Genomic DNA, 16,809 nt, shown 5'->3' with positions numbered 1-16,809 from the left:
CAATCAAAATATGAGCATTTCTATCATCCCCCAAAGTCTCCTTATGCCCCTTAACAGTTAATCCTTCTCCAACCTGCAGCCTAGACAACCACTGACCTACTCCAGATAGATGGTTGTTCTCAAAGTGTTGTCTAAGGATCACTGAGCAGTCAAAACTATTTTTATGATAAAACTAAGATGTTATTTGCTCTTTTCATTTTCAATCTCTCAAGTGTACAGTGGAGTTTTCCAGAGGCTGGTAACATGATGTATGATATTGTAACAGATTAAATGCAGAAGCAAGTATTAGAATCTAGCTGTCTGCTATTAAGCCATAAGAGATTTGCAAAAACGTAAAACAATGTCACTCTTCTTACTGAAATTGTTTTATTTTTGAAAATATGTTTTTTAAAAGTTGAAAACATGTTATTTATGTTACCATGTAATGGGTTGTTATTTTAAATTGAATGCATATTTTAAATTTTTCTCAGTTTTAATTTCTACTATGGTTAATTTTGACAGATATAGCCCATAAAACAAAAGCTCTGTGGAGTTCTCATTAATCTTTTAGACTGTAAAAATGACTAAAATGTTGGACTAGATAATGTTTCCTCATTTTACATTTATTTTTTTGAGACAGGGTGTTTCTCTGTTGCCTAGGCTGGAGTGCAGTGGTGCTAACCTGGCTCACCGGAGCCTCGACCTTCTGGGCTCAAGTAAACCTCCTGCCTAAGCCTCTTGAGTAGCTAGGATTATAGGCGTGCACCATGATGCTTGGCTAATTTTTAAATTGAAAAAAGTTTCTTTTTGAGACAGAGTCTCACTGTCACCCAAGGTGGAGTTCAGTGGTATGATCTCAGCTCACTGCAACCTCCACCTCCTGGGTTCAACTGATCCTCCTGATTCAGCCTTCCAAGTAGATGGGACTACAGGCATGTGCCACTGCCCCCGGCTAATCATTGTATTTTTTGTAGAGACAGGGTTTCACCATATTGCCCAGCTAGGTCTTGAACTCCTGGACTCAAGTGATCTGCCCGCCTTGGCCTCCCAAAGTGCTGGGATTACAGGTGTGAGCCACCACACCCGGTCTACAAGCCTGGCTCATTAAAAAAAATTTTTTTTTGTAGAGACAGGGTCTTGCAATGTTGCCCAGGGTGGTCTCGAACTCTTGGACTCAAGATCATCTCAGCCTCCCATCTCAGCCTCCCAAAGTGCTGGGATTACAGGTGTGAGCCACTGCACCTGGTCTGCATGCCTGCCTGGCTAATTAAAAAAATGTGGAGTCAGGGTCTTGTCACGTTGCCCAGGCTGGTCTTGAACTCCTGGACTCAAGCAAAGCCTCCCAAAGCGCTGGGATTACAGGCATGGCCACCATGCCTGGCCACTCCTTATTTTAAAATGCGATGACTCCACCGTGTCTGAAAGCTAGGTATAGAATTTTCAATCAACTATTTACTTGTAACAATGAAATAGTGGTCTGAATGTGTTAGCTACACTGTCTACAGCAGATGTAAACTAAAATTTTAACCATTTAAAATCAGAGGAAAACTAGATTATAACTTTTCTCTCGAAAGGAACCATGTCATCTAATGTATTTGTTCTCTGAGGGCAACAACGTATGGCTATAAGAATCCCTTTATTAGAGCTAATGAAAAATATAATTACCTTTTGCCAAATAGCGAGACTTTTCTTTCAGATGTCGGTTTGTTTATACTCAACTTTCCAAAGGTTGGTTTCTCTTTGCTTTAAGAAAAATAGAAAACAACTCTTTAAAATAAAAATTAAAATTAGCTCAAGAAACTTTTAGAAATATATTAGAACCAACAACTCTTCCCCACTAGCTATAAAAATAATTCAAAAATCATAAAAATGTTTAGCAGTCATGAAAGCTGTTATAAATAGGATGGGCTAAACATGGTACTATAAGTTATAATGCTTGTAATGTTGGGGGACCAGCAGAGGTCCCTCTGGTGTATGTACCCTTTGGTAGATTTAGTCTTCGTTTTAACCTCAGCAGGGTCTGTTTTACTCATCTCATTTTTAATAACTATCTAAACATTTTCTACCCTAAATTTGCATTTCCAAAGAGTAAAAACAAGGTTAAAAAAAAACCCTGAAGGTAAAGTACAAGATAGAAAATTTGTAGCCCAAAGACACAGAACATACTTTCAGGCCTAAATATCATTATTATTATTACTTTCTGATTTTAAATTATTAACAGAAAAAATTAAAAATTGACACATAATTGTACCTACTTATGGGGTACACAGTGATGCTGTGATACATATAATGTACAGTGATCAGATCAGAGTAATTACCATATCCATCATCTCAAACATTTATCATTTCTTTGTTGGGAACAGTCAATATTCTCCTAGCTATTTAAAACTATACAATATATTATTGTTAACTATAGTCATTATACAGTGCTATGAACACCAGGACTTATTCCTCCCATTTAGCTATAATTTTGTGTCCTTTAACAGATCTCTCCCTATTTCCGTCTTCTCCCTATGCTTCCTAGCCTCTAGCATCCATTTTATTTTTTACTTCTATGAGATAAACTTTTTTAGCTTCCACCTATGAGAACATGTGCTGTTTGTCTGTTCCCTGCTTATTTCACTTATTTACCAAGAGAAAGAAAAGTGTAGGTAGGAAGTCCAGTTAAGACAAAATGGTCAAAGGTAAGGCTTGTTATGCAGATTTAAGTCTTTTGCTTCTCTGCAGAACAAAAACCCTATCTACATTATGATTTCCATTATCTTAACCACATTTACATTTTTTTTTTTTAGAGCCTGCTCTGTATTAGAATGTAGCTGCACTTATTACATTATCTAAACTGCAGGCAAAAAAACATTGACAATGGTGACCTTTTAGCTTCTAATACAATTAAAGGCATAACTTTTTTTGGTATAAGTAATGTATAACAGCACAAACATTTTCTTGGTTTACAGTATTCAAAAGGAAAAATATATAAATATTTCAAATTTCTAAAAGTAACATAGGCTCATACTATGTAAATCCAAGTAATTTAAAAACAGTTAGCAAGTAACTTGTACCTCGGTACTAGAGAAGAATTATACAGCTCTACAATGGCTTACAAATAGCCTTCTCTTATCTGGAAGATAATCACTCATAATGAAAAACTATAGTTTATGACAGCAGGTTCTTTCAGATATTTTTCCAGCAAATCTTGAGGAAAGAGTTCGGAGGAGTGGTGTTTTGTAGGCTGCTACTATATTATACCTTATGAGAGCAAATAATTTTGCTCTGATTTGATTGAAGCTTTGCTAATTGGAAATATCTCAGTGAACTCTAAGTTACAGCACAGAGCCTGCTTAAACAAGTAGCTCTAGAATAAAAGAGAAAAATAAGAGAGTACTGAACAAGAATTAACAGTCCTTTTAGGGGGTGCCTGGTAAAGCATTTGGCTTTGGAAATTTGTGAAACAAATGACACAAACAACACCTAGCAGAGTATCATGCCCACTTTTAGATTTCATTGATCCAAAATTAGGTACCCCTGGGAACAGACAAGATTCACCAAGACATCACTCATATTACATCTTTATATTAACTATTTCTTATGATTTCTTTGCCTAAGATGATAAAGCATGCAAATTAGAACCACAAGGGAAATACTCACGTTTGAGGGGTATAGAGGCCTTGTTTATTTACATCCTGGGATCTTAACTCCTGCATGGAGAGGCGGCCAGCACCACCGCTGGAAACTGAACTGCGCTTCATGCTTATGACCTACATTCACGAATTCAGTATTTAAAAAAAACTTTCCAGACAGAGATGGTACATTAAGCAACTATTTATCCTTAAACAGAAAGACAGTCAGGTTTCATTGTTTCTTCAAGATCATCATCTTTCCCCTGGGGTATCTCTTTTTTGTTCATGTACACTGAAGTTCTCATTTGCAAGGAACATCTATTTAATTCCATTTAAAAATATTCAACATAAACATTTATTAACTGCCCACTATATATATAGGGGAGTGTGCTAGGCAATGCAGGAGATGCAAAGACGAGTAAGTTACGGTTTTTGCCTTCACAAGGGTATCCGTGGTAGCTAAAGCCCTGTCTGTTACCCAGACCACATTACTGCTGTTGGCTGTGCCTATTTCAATAGGAAGACAAAAAAATTACCTCAAATTCTCTTATTCACCTCAAAATGTTTCCTTTTCTTTGGTTTCAGAGAATGGAATTATTCTGTTTTCCTAATGTCAATCTCTCCTGCTCTGTCCTTAACCCATTGTTTCCTCAATTACTGCCCTTTTGGCATCAATCTCCCCTTCAACAAGGATAAATCATCCGGTCCATAAAATGGTCTATAGGCTGCCTCCATTTACAAACCACATTAACAGGTCACTCCCTTCACATCTGCTAAAAAATTTGTCTCCTAGGATACACATGATTGACAAAACTTTTGATCCTGTCTCATCTCTGCACCCAGCCTTCTCAGGTCCTGCCCTGGCTTTCAGGAAGGTGACAATCCTTTTACTTCTCTGGGTACTCCTTAGTCTTTTACACTGATTAGACTCTTCTTGATTTTGGCCGCCTATTTCCTCTTCAATATGCGCTTGTTCATCTATTCAACTTTTCCACTCACACCTGTGTGTCCACGTTTAATCTCCACTTAGAATGTAGCTCTCATGATTTAAGATGAAGACTTCTACACGCAGTCCTACACGGCCATAAGAAGCTACACTAGTATTCAGACGCAACCCACCCAACGAGTCCTCTCTTGTCCATCTCTTTCCGCCCCCTTCAATTCTTCCCCGTTTCCTCTCCCGAGCCTCCACTCCTCATCAGTGTCCCCCAGGCCCTCCCCTTTCCTCCTTGGGAAATCGTTGCCACTAGAAATTTAATAGATCCCGTGAAACCAGCGCCTCGCACAGTTTTGGCCTCGAGGCTTCTCCCAACAGCAAACAAACACCAAAACATCGCCTCAGGACCTCTAAATTTAAGTCATTGGCGCCATCACTTTCTTCCTCCAGAACAGCTCTGCAGAAACAAAGTTAATCCGATGTCATTCAGTCACCTTTTTTCCAGTTTCCTGACACGACCCAGGGACCGAATTTCTGTAAACCGTGCAAGTATCTGCTAGACAGGACAGCGGTCATCAAAACACCAGGTCCTTCCTCGGCCCGCCAAAGCCGTTCGAATTTGAAATTCTCCGCCGGCGCTGACGTCATTACGCACGACGCGCGCAGTAACTTCCATGCGACCGCCTCGTCGCTGGAAGGCTGCGTGCTGGTCGCGCCCAGCTGCGTCACCCCAGGAACTGGGGTCTGTGGGCCAGTGTGGCCGTCTCTACGAAGACTGGCACGACCCCTAAAGTTAGGTCGGAAGACCTGTGGGCAGCTTGAGCGCCGAGGAGTGCCCTGAACGCTCAACTCGCCCTGGAAACGTTTTTCCGTACAGCAACATGGCGGCGCCCATGGACTCTTAGAAAAGGAGAAAGCTTTTTCTCTGTGGACTGGAAGGGGCATTTTTCATGATCACTATTTAGATGGGTGCTGTTTTCATGAGGAGAGTCTGGGAAGGCGGCGTCCGCTTTTCTGACAAGGGAAGAGGTGAGGTGGGAGAGGGGCTGCGGAGTGGGTGGAATGGGCTCCCAGGATTGCGTTGGTACGGCTGCCGAAATTCGGGCTCAGTATTTGATCACTTGCCGGAGGCTCACGGTCCTCTGGTGGTGGCTGACCTGTGAGAGGCTAGGAAGAATCCAAGTGTTTGGGGGCGGGCGGCGAGGGAGTGGATGTGAAGCAGAGACGCAGGAGAGGGGTGCACTAACAACAGTAACAGTAGATCACTTTGCTAAAATAGGATTTCCTCGCTGCTGTGAGTTTGAATCCAGAAACAGGCACTGCCCGGTACCTGGAGAGTGGTGGTGATGAAAGATCTCACAGCTCCAGGAAGTCTGGATACTTGGGTCTGGTAGCAATTGTGCCATTAACTAGCGTTGTTATTTTTGGGCAGCTTGCCTTTCTGCTCTGAGTTTCAATTTTCCCGTCTGAATTTCTAGCTCTCACTAGCCATTCCAGGACCCTTTTCACCTCAGCTGTGGCCTATGAAGGGGATGGGGAGGAACCAAGGATTATATTAATATAAAAATTATATGAAAATTAGGCAACCGTCTGATAATAAAAAGTCTCCTTGTGGAATACTGTTAGGTTAAACTTTACCTACAGATTGTTAAATCCTTAGCACTAATGTTTTCCCCAGAAAAGATTAATGGAAACATCATTTGCTTTTCTGACTAGATAGTTGCTGCTTCCAAAGGTGGTTTTACACAAATACAAAATTAAAAACACCTTTAGTACAGAAATAATTGCTTGTATTTCGGTATACATTCACAGTACAGTTCAGCATTTAGTGGTCCTGCTAGCAATTTGCCAGGAAGTCAAGCCTGCCAATTTCCTGATATTCCTGCTGTGCACCCCAACTTCTTAATCCCTGCTGAGGATCTTGAGAAGCAGCAGCACCAAAACCAAAGTAGGCACCAAATTCAAGGTTCTTTTGGTTCCGGTTGTCACATTTCAAGCTAGACTCCAATAGATGGAAGGATGATCACATGTGAGCCCTGTTTAAAACTTCAATTTTTAAGAGCAAGCACAATTGCAGGAAAAGAAAACAATTCAGAGGGATCATGTGTGCTTACAGTTGTCTTCATGTGGCCTTTTCCCAGGTTTAACCACCAAGGACCCTGACAGCCGGGGTGTCTGAATAACCCTGGTGACTCTTTTCACCATATCAAAACCTGAGTTAAAAGGCTGATGATAACAGCAGAAGGTGGCAGGGCTGAGGACCCACTATTAATTTCCTAGGCTGGTGGAGAGTGAATAAATGTTCTTCCAACCTTACCTTATGGCTTCTGGTCAAAGCAAAGAAGTGTCGTGGAAAGTGTTGGGTGGTGACAGTGCAAAAAGAGACTTGACGGGGAGGGAGCAGCATCTCTTGATAAAGGTGGGGAAGAGAAGATATGGGGAAAGCCCTGAATTCCTCATGGAAGGCGAATCTCAGAGGGGAGCGGAGCAGAGGGCTTATGATCTGTGCTTTGGCCAAGGGTGGGAGTGGAAGAGGTGGGGACAGGACAGTGGTTTGGAAGGAGCATCACTGAATACTTAAACTGAGTGCCCACACACTCAGCAGTGGTCCCACAGGCTGTGATCTTCACGTCTACTCTAACAAGCCTCCCAGGCTAGAGGGCTGTTGCAGTGGGTGGGGGTGGGAGGAAGGGAGAGCGGTAGGGGGAGAAGGCGGAGACTCCAGGCCATGTAAGGAGAAGCAAGGTGATTGTGTGGTCTTTCCACAGTTGAATTAGATGTACCCCACCAGTTATGATGGGAATCAATTTAAATATACTTGCTTGATCCTGTCGCTTGACAGGATGATTTGTTATAGCACAACTTACATAATTCAAATGGACAAAAAAGTTAGTATCATTCACAGTATCTTAAGATACATTTCTTTTGAATAGGAGCATCCTTTCTAGTACTGTGAGGTCTACAAGATGTATCTAGAAAATTTACTACTGTTGAAAATGAAGACTGCTTAAATTGAATGGGTGTGGGGAAAAGGGACTATGGTTTTTCTTTTTGATTAATTACTGTAACAGTGTCTTTCAGGCTGCTGAGGGAGTTTCATGTTTTCTTTAGATGTCATTAGCTGTTCAACCTCTTCCAAGACAACTTTGATGCTATCTGAATTCTGCTATTTAGCTAGCACTGAAATGGCTCTTGAGTCCACCACTCCTTTAGAATAGCATTAATTTTTGTTACACATCTTACAAAGGGGAGTGCTGCTGGGTATTTAGGTCCACATTCTATTTTAAAGCTGTATATTCAGTTTTTGTAAATTGTTCTTGAAGGCCCAATTATCATCCCTGTCCATTTGGTAAGTGTCATGTCTTTATCATCTTCTAGACTCTAGCTATCTGTGCCATCTCATACTCCCTTTTTTTTTTTTTTTTGAGACGTAGTTTCACTCTTGTTGCCCTGGCTGGAGTGCAGTAGTGCAGTCTCGGCTCACTGCAACCTCTCCCTCCTGGGTTCAAGTGATTCTCATGCCTCAGCCTTCTGAGTAACTGGGATTACAGGCGCATGCCACCAAGCCCAGCTAATTTTTGTACTTTTAGTAGACGCAGCGTTTCACCATGTTGGCCAGGCAGGTCTTGAACTCCCGACCTCAGGGGATCTGCCCGCCTCGGCCTCCCAAAGTGCTGCGATTACAGGCGTGGGCCACCATGCCCAGCCACTCCTTTCTAACCTTCAGGTTCTTCCAACAGTTGGAAATTGAGAGGTACTCCTACTCCTGAGCCTGTGGTGACTGCCATCATGTGTCACTGTCACTCTTAGGCTCGCCCCTTCTTCCCTCTAATTCATTTCTGACACTATTTCTATCTTTAGATAGTGTCACATCTCCCAAATTCATTGTACAGACATGAATGATTACATCATTGGTCACTGGTGATCAACTCAGCCTTCATCCCTGCACTCAGTAAGGCTACAGGGGCGGTGAGCCAGGAACTGTGGATGAAAACCAATGTACATCATAATCTCACTCATGGAGTTAGAAATTTGAATCTAAATGCTGTGATTATTAATTGTGCCATTAAGCACTCATTTATTTCTTATTCTGTCCCCTCTTAAGTTCTCCACTGCACTGGATTTAGAAAGCAATATCTAGAACTCTAATCCATCTTTTGAAAAAAGGTTAGTTCTGAGAAACCTAGTTATCCAAGGGGTACTGCTCAGAACCAATTACAGATCTAGACTCTTAACCTTGCGGTTTTGCTAGGGTTTAGTGCTTCTGATGTGCTGGTAAAATTGCATTTTCTCTGACTAGAACAATTTTTTCTTTTTACCTTATTACTCCATTGGTAGTAGTGATTAAGTAGGGAAGATGATACTGGAGAATGGGCTGACTTACTATGACAAGTGTAGTTTGCAAAAACGAGGGATTACCTGCTAACAGCACCTTCTGAAATTCTATGCCCCTCTCTAGATAGGTTTATCTCATTAAAAAGGGTGAATTCACGTAGCTAATGTAGTGTTCTTTGCTTTTACAGGCTACTTTGTCCTTTTAAGGATTCAATGACTTCCTGACTTGGAGGATGTGGACCTAGTGGCTAGACCCAAGGACCAAAGCAAGAAGTCGTGGGGGGCCCAGGAAGACAGGAGGATCACATTGGGATTCCAGACATAAGATCAGGTTTTAACCCCCTTTGGCCAAATTTTGGCTGAAAATGTTGAATTATCAACTCTGAAATTAAAAAGAAAGTTTATATTAAAACATTGCAATTTTCCTTAGAATTTCTGTATATATTAACATCATGAATGATAAATTCTCTTCAATGTGCATGTCAGGTTTTTGTACTTGTATATCAAATCTATCTGTGTGTATGAAGTGTATGTTTATTGAAATACAAGATATTTAAGAAGCTGATCTGGAAAGTTGGATTTTCATTCTAGTTCCTAATTCCCAGAGGCTTTTTTAAAGGAAGGGAATGTCTGTGGTACACCAGTTGTCAGCTGGGTGGTTACTGGATCATCTTTCTTTTATCAACAAGATAAACTATCAACTTCACCAGCATCATGAACCTTGTTGCCGTAAAAAGGAGTTCACTACTTCTGTTCACTTTGAGTCTCTTCAAATGGATTCTGTGTCCTCCTCTGGAGTCTGTGCTGCATTTATTGCTTCTGACTCTTCCACTAAGCCAGAGAATGATGATGGAGGAAATTATGAAATGTTCACACGAAAATTTGTTTTTCGACCTGAACTGTTTGATGTCACCAAACCTTATATAACTCCAGCTGTTCATAAAGAATGCCAGCAAAGTAATGAAAAGGAAGATCTGATGAATGGTGTTAAAAAAGAAATCTCCATTTCTATTATTGGGAAGGTAGAAAGTTTTAAGAAATATTTATTTTTCTCCAGAAAACATAATTGAGATTTATTATCTAAATGTCTTAAATATCTGGTGATTCGTTAAGTATAAAGAAGAATCAGTAAAACCCAAAAAGGCTTTAGCATATCTGAAATAATTTGTAGCTTTTTTCTAGCTTCAACTATTCTTAGAAGACCAAATTGCATAGTATTTCAAAAATAAGCAAAGTTGGCTGGGAAGTGAATTCTCTGTAAATTAAGCAAAGAAAATAAACCCAGACAGCAAAAAAACAAACAAAAAGCCAAACAAAAAACTCCCCCAAAACCCTTTTCTTGATTAGGCATTTGTATTAATTGAATATGTTTACAACTGTTTTTGCTTTAAAAAAAAAGTTTTTCTACAAAATTTCTAAGCAGTAAGTGGTATTTCGGAGGTTTTTAGAGAGCTATCCCTTGGAGATACGTAATAAAAGTTTGTAAGAAGGGTGATTGTTTTAAAAGTTTCTAGTGATACAAGTAGAAAGCTCCTGTGGTAAATATACCCGTTTGTAAAGTATATGTATTTGTATATTCACACTGGTGCAATCTTTTAGTAGAGTTTTGGGAATGCCATACAGGATCAAATTAATTATGCTTTAATACTTTTTATCTCTTTCAGGAATTTAGAGGTGATTTTACAAAGTCCATTTTAGATATCTGATATCAGCATTGTCTTTTTTACTTATTTTTATTTATTTGTTTATTTTATTTATTTATTTATTTATTTATTTATTTATTTATTTATTTATTTGAGACAGAGTCTTGCTCTGTCACCCAAGCTGGAGTGCAGTGGTGCTATCTCAGCTCACTGCAAGCTCCGCCTCCCGGGTTCACGCCATTCTCCTGCCTCAGCCTCCCGAGCAGCTGGGACTACAGGCGCTTGCCACCACGCCTGGCTAATTTTTTGTATTTTTAGTAGAGACGGGGCTTCACTGTGTTAAGCCAGGGTGATCTTGATCTCCTGACCTCGTGATCTGCCCACCTCGGCTTGAGCCACTGCACCCGGCCTCAACATTTTCTTTTTTAGTGATAGGATTAACATTCATTACTCACCGAACAAACGTTTGAGCTCTTTCTATGTGCCATTGTATGCAGAGTGATGAAACAAGATAAACATAATCCCTCCCTGATGGATCTTATAATTCGGTGAAGAAGAAAGATATTAAATACGAAAGTTTGTTGAGAATTAGAATAAGGAAAGTAATAAAGAAAATACATTTTCTGAAATGGAACTTTTTAATATTGTGACTTTTTTCTTGTGCATATTCTTCTTTTTTTTAATTTTAATTTTAATTTTTAAGTTCACAGGTACATGTATAGGTTTGTTATATAGATACATTTGTGTCATGGGGTTTTGTTGTACAAATTATTTCATCACCCAGGTATTAAGCCTAGTACCCATTAGTTATTTGTCCTGATCCTTTCCCTCCTCCCATCCTCTGACCTCCATCTTCCAGTAGGCCCCAGTATCTGTTGCTCCCCTCTGTGTGTTCATGTGTTGATCCCCCTTTTTTTTTTTGAGACGGAGTCTTGCTCTGTTTCCCAGGCTGGAGCGCAGTGGCGTGATCTCGGTTCACTGAAACCTCTGCCTCTCAGGTTCAAGCAATTCTCCTGTCTCAGCCTCCCGAGTAGCTGGGATTATGTGTGTCCACCACCATACCCGGCCAATTTTTTGTATTTTTAGTAGACACCTTGTTGGCCAAGCTGGTCTTGAACTCCTGATCTCAGGTGATCCACCTGCCTCGGCCTCCCAAAGTGCTGAGATTACAGGTGTGAGCCACCATGCCCAGTCCCCTTTTTCCTTTCATCAAATATTTATTGATCATTTACTACGTGTCACACACAGAAAAGAAAATATTTAGCATTGTCCGAGGTCTTAGTAAAATAGTATGTTGTAATATAAGTAATTCAGATAATAACAAGCCTTTGTAAAGGACTTTATAGTTTACAGGGTATGGGCATTAATTTTTAATGTTTAATCTCTCAGGTTGGGTAAATTTCTTATAACATGGAAAAAAATAGATGAACCTATGTAATAAATGTAATCTTGATGACACCTTCTGATATGCTAAAGCAAATTATACAATATTAAGTCCATTTATTTATTTAGCCAACAGACATTTATTGTTAGCATGCTAAGAGTTTGACACAAGGTAAGCACTGGAGTTTCAGCCATAAAAAGTACTAAGTCCTTACTCTATATTGTTAGATATAGAACAGTGTCAATATAAATCTGATTCATACCTAACCCTCATCAGTCATAAGCACATTGGAATTTCTTTTGATGATAGCACCTGGCTAGTTTCTCTTCTCAGAAATAAAGGAAATTGAGAATAACTATACCATATATAAAGTGATAGATGGCACTGGTAACTTCATACGGTGTCATAGTTTCCTTGTATTTCATGGGTGCTGATGCTACACTTTATCATGTGGAACTAGTTCTTTTTTTTGAGACAGAGTCTCGCACACCATTCTCCTGCCTCAGCCTCCCAAGTAGCTGGGACTACAGGCGCCTGCCACCATGCCTGGCTAATTTTTTTTTTTTTTGTATTTTTAGTAGAGATGGGGTTTCACCATGTTAGCCGGGATGGTCTCGATCTTCTGACCTCGTGATCCTCCCGCCTTGGCCTCCCAAAGTGCTGGGATTACAGGCGTGAGCCACCGTGCCCGGCCAGAACTAGTTCTTATTAATAGCAGATAAAGCTGAGGTGACCTTTTACAATCCATTTTGTTTATGTTGTTGTTTTTAATTTACTTTGGGAAAGCTTACCTCCTCACTCCATACCCTTTGCATTGATTTTGACCTCAGTAGACAATTACTACTATTAATTATTAATTATTATTAGACAGATATAAGACATAAATAATGTTATAATGAAAAAGCAAAATATTAATGGCAACATAACTTTTCCCCTGTAATTGATCTACCCTTTAGAAGCGTAAAAGATGTGTTGTTTTCAATCAAGGTGAATTGGATGCTATGGAATACCATACAAAGGTAAGTGTAAAATGTTCATTGATCACATTGGAAGATTAATGTGAAGTAGTAGAAAATAAATGGACAACATAAATAAGGATTTTTTTTCAAAATCAAGCAATCATTTTGATCAGGCTTAGCACTTAATATATTTATTGTTAATTTTATAGTAATGCACAGTTTAAACCAGTTTTGTCTTTTTTTTTTTTTTTTTTTTGAGGCAGAGTCTCATTCTGTTGCCCAGGCTGGAGTGGAGTGGTAGTGGTGTGATCTCAGCTCACTGTAGCCTCTGCCTCCTGGGTTCAAGCAATCTCATGCCTTGGCCTCCTCTGAGTAGCTGGGATTATAGGCGTGTGCCACCATGCCCTGCTAATTTTTTGTATTTTTAGTAGAGATGGTGTTTCACCATGTTGGCCAGGCTGGTCTCAAACTACTGAGCTCTGGCCATCCGCCAGCCTCAGCCTCCCAAAGTGCTAGGATTTTACAGGAGTGAGCGACTGCATCCAGCCTAAACCAGTTTTTATTGAAACTTCATGTACTTCTATTAGTTTAAATATTTAACAAAGTAAACTTATGCTATATTGGTTAAGTTTAGAGATTTTAGAGATTATAAAATCCTATTGTCTAGATAAAACAATATATTAAGAGAGTGGCAGAAGAGAGCATGAGTAATGTGAAGGATATGTTTCTAGAACATAGCGATAAATGAGATCAGAGAGTTAAAGAAATGAGAAGAAACAGAATGAACACAAATATTTTAAGCTTAATTTTTTTTTCCATGGAGCACCTTTGAAATGGCAAAATTCAGTCTGGAATTCGGTCTTGTTGAATTAATGTGATGGTAGAACCCTGGGTTTTTTTTCCCTTTCTTTCTTGTTGTAGTAGAATATACATAAAATTTTCCATTTTTAACCATTTTTAAGTGTAAAATTCTGCGGCATTAAATACATTCACAATGTTGTACCACACCACTGCTGTTCATCTCTAGTACTTTTTCATCATCCCAAACTGGAACTCTACCATTATTTAATAACTCCCCATCCCCCCGTCCCCCAGCTGCTGGTATCCTTTATTCTACTCACTGTCTCTGTGAATTTGCCTATGGTAGATATTTCATATAAGTGGAATCATACAATGTTCATCTTTTTGTATCTGGCTAATTTCATTTAGCATAATGTCTTCAAGGTTCATCCATGTTGTAGCATTTATCAGAATTTCCTTTTTAAGGGCGAATAATATTTCATTGTTTGTATATACTACATTTTGTTTATTCATTTATTTGTTCATGGTCATTTGGGTTGTTTCCACATTTTGGCTATTATGAATAATGTTTCTGTGAACATTGGTGTACAAGTATCTGTTTTGAGTCCCTGCTTTTTTTAGGTATATACCCAGAAGTGGAATTGTTGGATTAGCTTTTATGTTTAACTTTCATTTTTTCTTTTGAGACAGGGTCTCACCGTGTTGCCCAGGCTGGAGTGCAGTGGTGCAGTCATGGCTCACCGTGGCTTTGAACTCTTGGGCTCAAGTGATCCTCTTGCCTCAGCCTCCTGAGTAGATGGGACTACAGGCATGTGCCACCACGCTCAGCTAATTTTTTATTTTTTTGTAGAGATAAGGTCTTAACTATGTTGCCCAGGCTGGTCTTGAACTCCTGGGCTCAAGCAGTCCTCCTGCCTTGGCCTCCCAAAGTGCTGGGAATACAGACAAGAGCCACTGTATGCAGCCCCTGCCCCCCTTTTTTTTAATCATAGCCATTTTGACGGATATAAAGTGGTATCTTATTGTGGTTTTCGTAAACACATTGGGTTTTAAATGTTCTGAAGACAGCTGAATACACAAATGTTAAATCCCTCAATGTGAGCAGTTTATCTGTTAATTTTGGAAATACACTTATTTTCTGGAAATGACACTTGCAAGGTTAACTGCAGAAATACCAGGAAAATCCAGGGTATTTATATCTATAAAAAAATTAATAAGATTTACTTTCACTTTAAAGTTTACATGAAATTAGAGAATAGAATTTCTTGAATTCATGTATATTCTAATTGCTAAATACTTGTATTAATCATAAATACAAATTATGAAATGTGCTGCAGAATGGAATCAAACTCTTAAAAAGTAGTAGGACAGAATATTTGCTGAATCAGATTTAGAGGTTTGACTATCCGGTAGTGCCAGTCCTGCCCATCCCCATCCTTTTCTCATCACTCCTCTTTTTAATAAATTTGTTTTCTTTCCCCATATAAATTTTAGGATCAATGATAACATCTAGTTAGAAAACCTGTTGCCATTTTTATGGCATCAAGTTAAATTTCTAAATTAAATTAGGGCAGTGTTGACATCTTTAAGATGTTGGTGATTCCGCCCCAAAACATGAATGTATTTTTCCATTTGCTCACGTTTTGTTTTGTCGTTGTGTAAAATTTTCTTTATAAAGGCCTTGCAGGTTTCTTGTTAAGTTGTAGTAATTTTTTGTTGTTGTATCTCTTGGATTTTCCAGATATAGAACTCTTTCAAATAGTAGTAATTTTACTTATACCTTTCCAATTATCATGTTTCTGATTTCTTCTCTAATTCTGTAGGGTGGAAATTATAATACAATATTAAAGAATATTTGTGTGCATAATAAACATAAGTAATATATGTGAGCATATTTACTTTGTCTTGTGCTTGACAAGGGGGATAATTTCATCATTAAGCATAATACTGGGTTTCAACTGAGTTGGAAATAACATGTTAGGCATATATGGAGATTGAACAGATTTTTTTTTTCTTTTTTAAAAATTTTTTTCCATGAACCTATTGATCCTATTGAAGGAGACTGAATAGATTTTTCCTATGATTCTTCCTCAATTAACCATCCTTGCATTTGCAGAATATATTCCAAATGATCATGATGTTACTATTTTTAAAATGTTCTACTGGATTTTCTTTTTTGAGACAGAGTCTCGCTCTGTCGCCCAGGCTGGAGTGCAGTGGCCCATCTCCGCTCACTGCAAACTCTGCCTCCTGGGTTCATGCCATTCTCTTGCCTCAGCCTCCCGAGTAGCTGGGATTACAGGCGCCCGCCACTACGCCCAGCTAATTTTTTGTATTTTTTTAGTAGACACGGGGTTTCACTGTGTTAGCCAGGATGATCTCAATCTCCTGACCTCATGATCTGCCCGCCTCGGCCTCCCAAAGTGCTGGAATTATAGGCGTGAGCCACTGCGCCCGGCCTCTACTGGATTTTATTTGCTAATGTTTTATTTGGGACAGTCATAAGAGAGATTGGTCTGATATATTTACTTCTTCGGCCTTATATATAATTATATATGTAAATATGTAGGATGTTTGCACGCTGGAGAACTTATTAGCCCTCTCGTGTTGGAAGCTAGAAGTTTTCCTTCTTTTTACTTTCCAATTTTCTGGAGCAATAGAAAAATAATTGGGATAATTTGTTCTTTAAAAGTTTGATAAAGTTTGATAGAACCCCCACTTTGTAACCATCTCAGTGTGTTGCTTTTTGTGGTGGATACTTTTTTGGCAACTTTACTTTTTTCCTCTTTTCTTTTTTCTTTATTTATTGATAGAAGAATTTAATGATGAGACTTTTTCTCTGGGCACAGCTTTAGCAACATCATGTACGTTCCGATGTGTTGTGTTTTAATTGTCATGGGGGAAGGTTTTTAGTAACAAAATCAGGTTTTTTAATAGAGAACCGGATTTTCAGGTTTTTTGTTTCTATTGATGTCAGTTTTCACAAGTTTTATTTTCTAAGAAATGTGTTCATTTCAGGCTGGACATGGTGGTTCATGCCTGTAATCACAGCACTATGGGGAGGCCGAGGTGGGCAGATCACTTGATGTTAGGAATTGGAGACCAGTCTGGCCAACATGGTGAAATCCCATTTCTACTAAAAATATAAAAAAAT

The 16,809-nt window shown here is 39.1% G+C and overlaps 2 protein-coding genes and 1 pseudogene across 8 annotated transcripts in view, besides 3 other annotated features; 1 reads left to right on the top strand and 2 right to left on the bottom strand.

Annotated features, from left to right (window-relative positions):
• The window catches only part of NDC80 (NDC80 kinetochore complex component), a 45,079-nt gene extending 39,925 nt beyond the window's left edge, over positions 1-5,154 (bottom strand). The window contains exons 1-3 of the mRNA NM_006101.3: positions 5,028-5,154; positions 3,625-3,734; positions 1,645-1,722 (exon numbers count right to left, since the gene is read on the bottom strand). Coding sequence (NP_006092.1) covers positions 1,645-1,722; positions 3,625-3,725 — 179 coding nt within the window. The 5' untranslated portion in view covers positions 3,726-3,734; positions 5,028-5,154. The remainder of the gene's footprint in view (positions 1-1,644; positions 1,723-3,624; positions 3,735-5,027) is intronic.
• Positions 5,149-5,308: an enhancer, noted in NCBI's record as "active region_13023". NCBI's record gives its function as "activates an Ori minimal core promoter by ATAC-STARR-seq in GM12878 lymphoblastoid cells {active_cell/tissue: GM12878}" and the evidence as "EXISTENCE:reporter gene assay evidence [ECO:0000049][PMID:35858748]".
• Positions 5,149-6,113: a biological region, named in NCBI's record as "NANOG-H3K27ac-H3K4me1 hESC enhancer GRCh37_chr18:2570597-2571519".
• Positions 5,191-6,113: an enhancer, noted in NCBI's record as "NANOG-H3K27ac-H3K4me1 hESC enhancer chr18:2570597-2571519 (GRCh37/hg19 assembly coordinates)". NCBI's record gives its function as "activates a minimal SCP1, AML or CMV promoter by ChIP-STARR-seq in naive H9 embryonic stem cells {active_cell/tissue: H9 hESC(naive)}" and the evidence as "EXISTENCE:reporter gene assay evidence [ECO:0000049][PMID:30033119]".
• Positions 5,206-16,809, top strand: part of METTL4 (methyltransferase 4, N6-adenosine) — a 33,976-nt gene continuing 22,372 nt past the window's right edge. For 6 of the 7 annotated variants that reach the window (XM_011525730.4, XM_005258132.5, NM_001308401.2 and 3 more), the window contains exons 1-3: positions 5,206-5,562; positions 9,057-9,890; positions 12,852-12,914. In XM_011525730.4, coding sequence (XP_011524032.1) covers positions 9,495-9,890; positions 12,852-12,914 — 459 coding nt within the window. In that variant the 5' untranslated portion in view covers positions 5,206-5,562; positions 9,057-9,494. The remainder of the gene's footprint in view (positions 5,563-9,056; positions 9,891-12,851; positions 12,915-16,809) is intronic. The other variant, XM_005258133.4, reaches the window with a different exon arrangement.
• Positions 7,589-7,936, bottom strand: LOC100128926 (ubiquitin-conjugating enzyme E2 variant 1-like; annotated as a pseudogene).

Source organism: Homo sapiens, chromosome 18 (genome assembly GCF_000001405.40).
Source record: "Homo sapiens chromosome 18, GRCh38.p14 Primary Assembly".
In the NCBI taxonomy this organism is placed as follows: Eukaryota; Metazoa; Chordata; class Mammalia; order Primates; family Hominidae; genus Homo; species Homo sapiens.
This window is presented reverse-complemented; position numbering and strand designations above follow the sequence as displayed.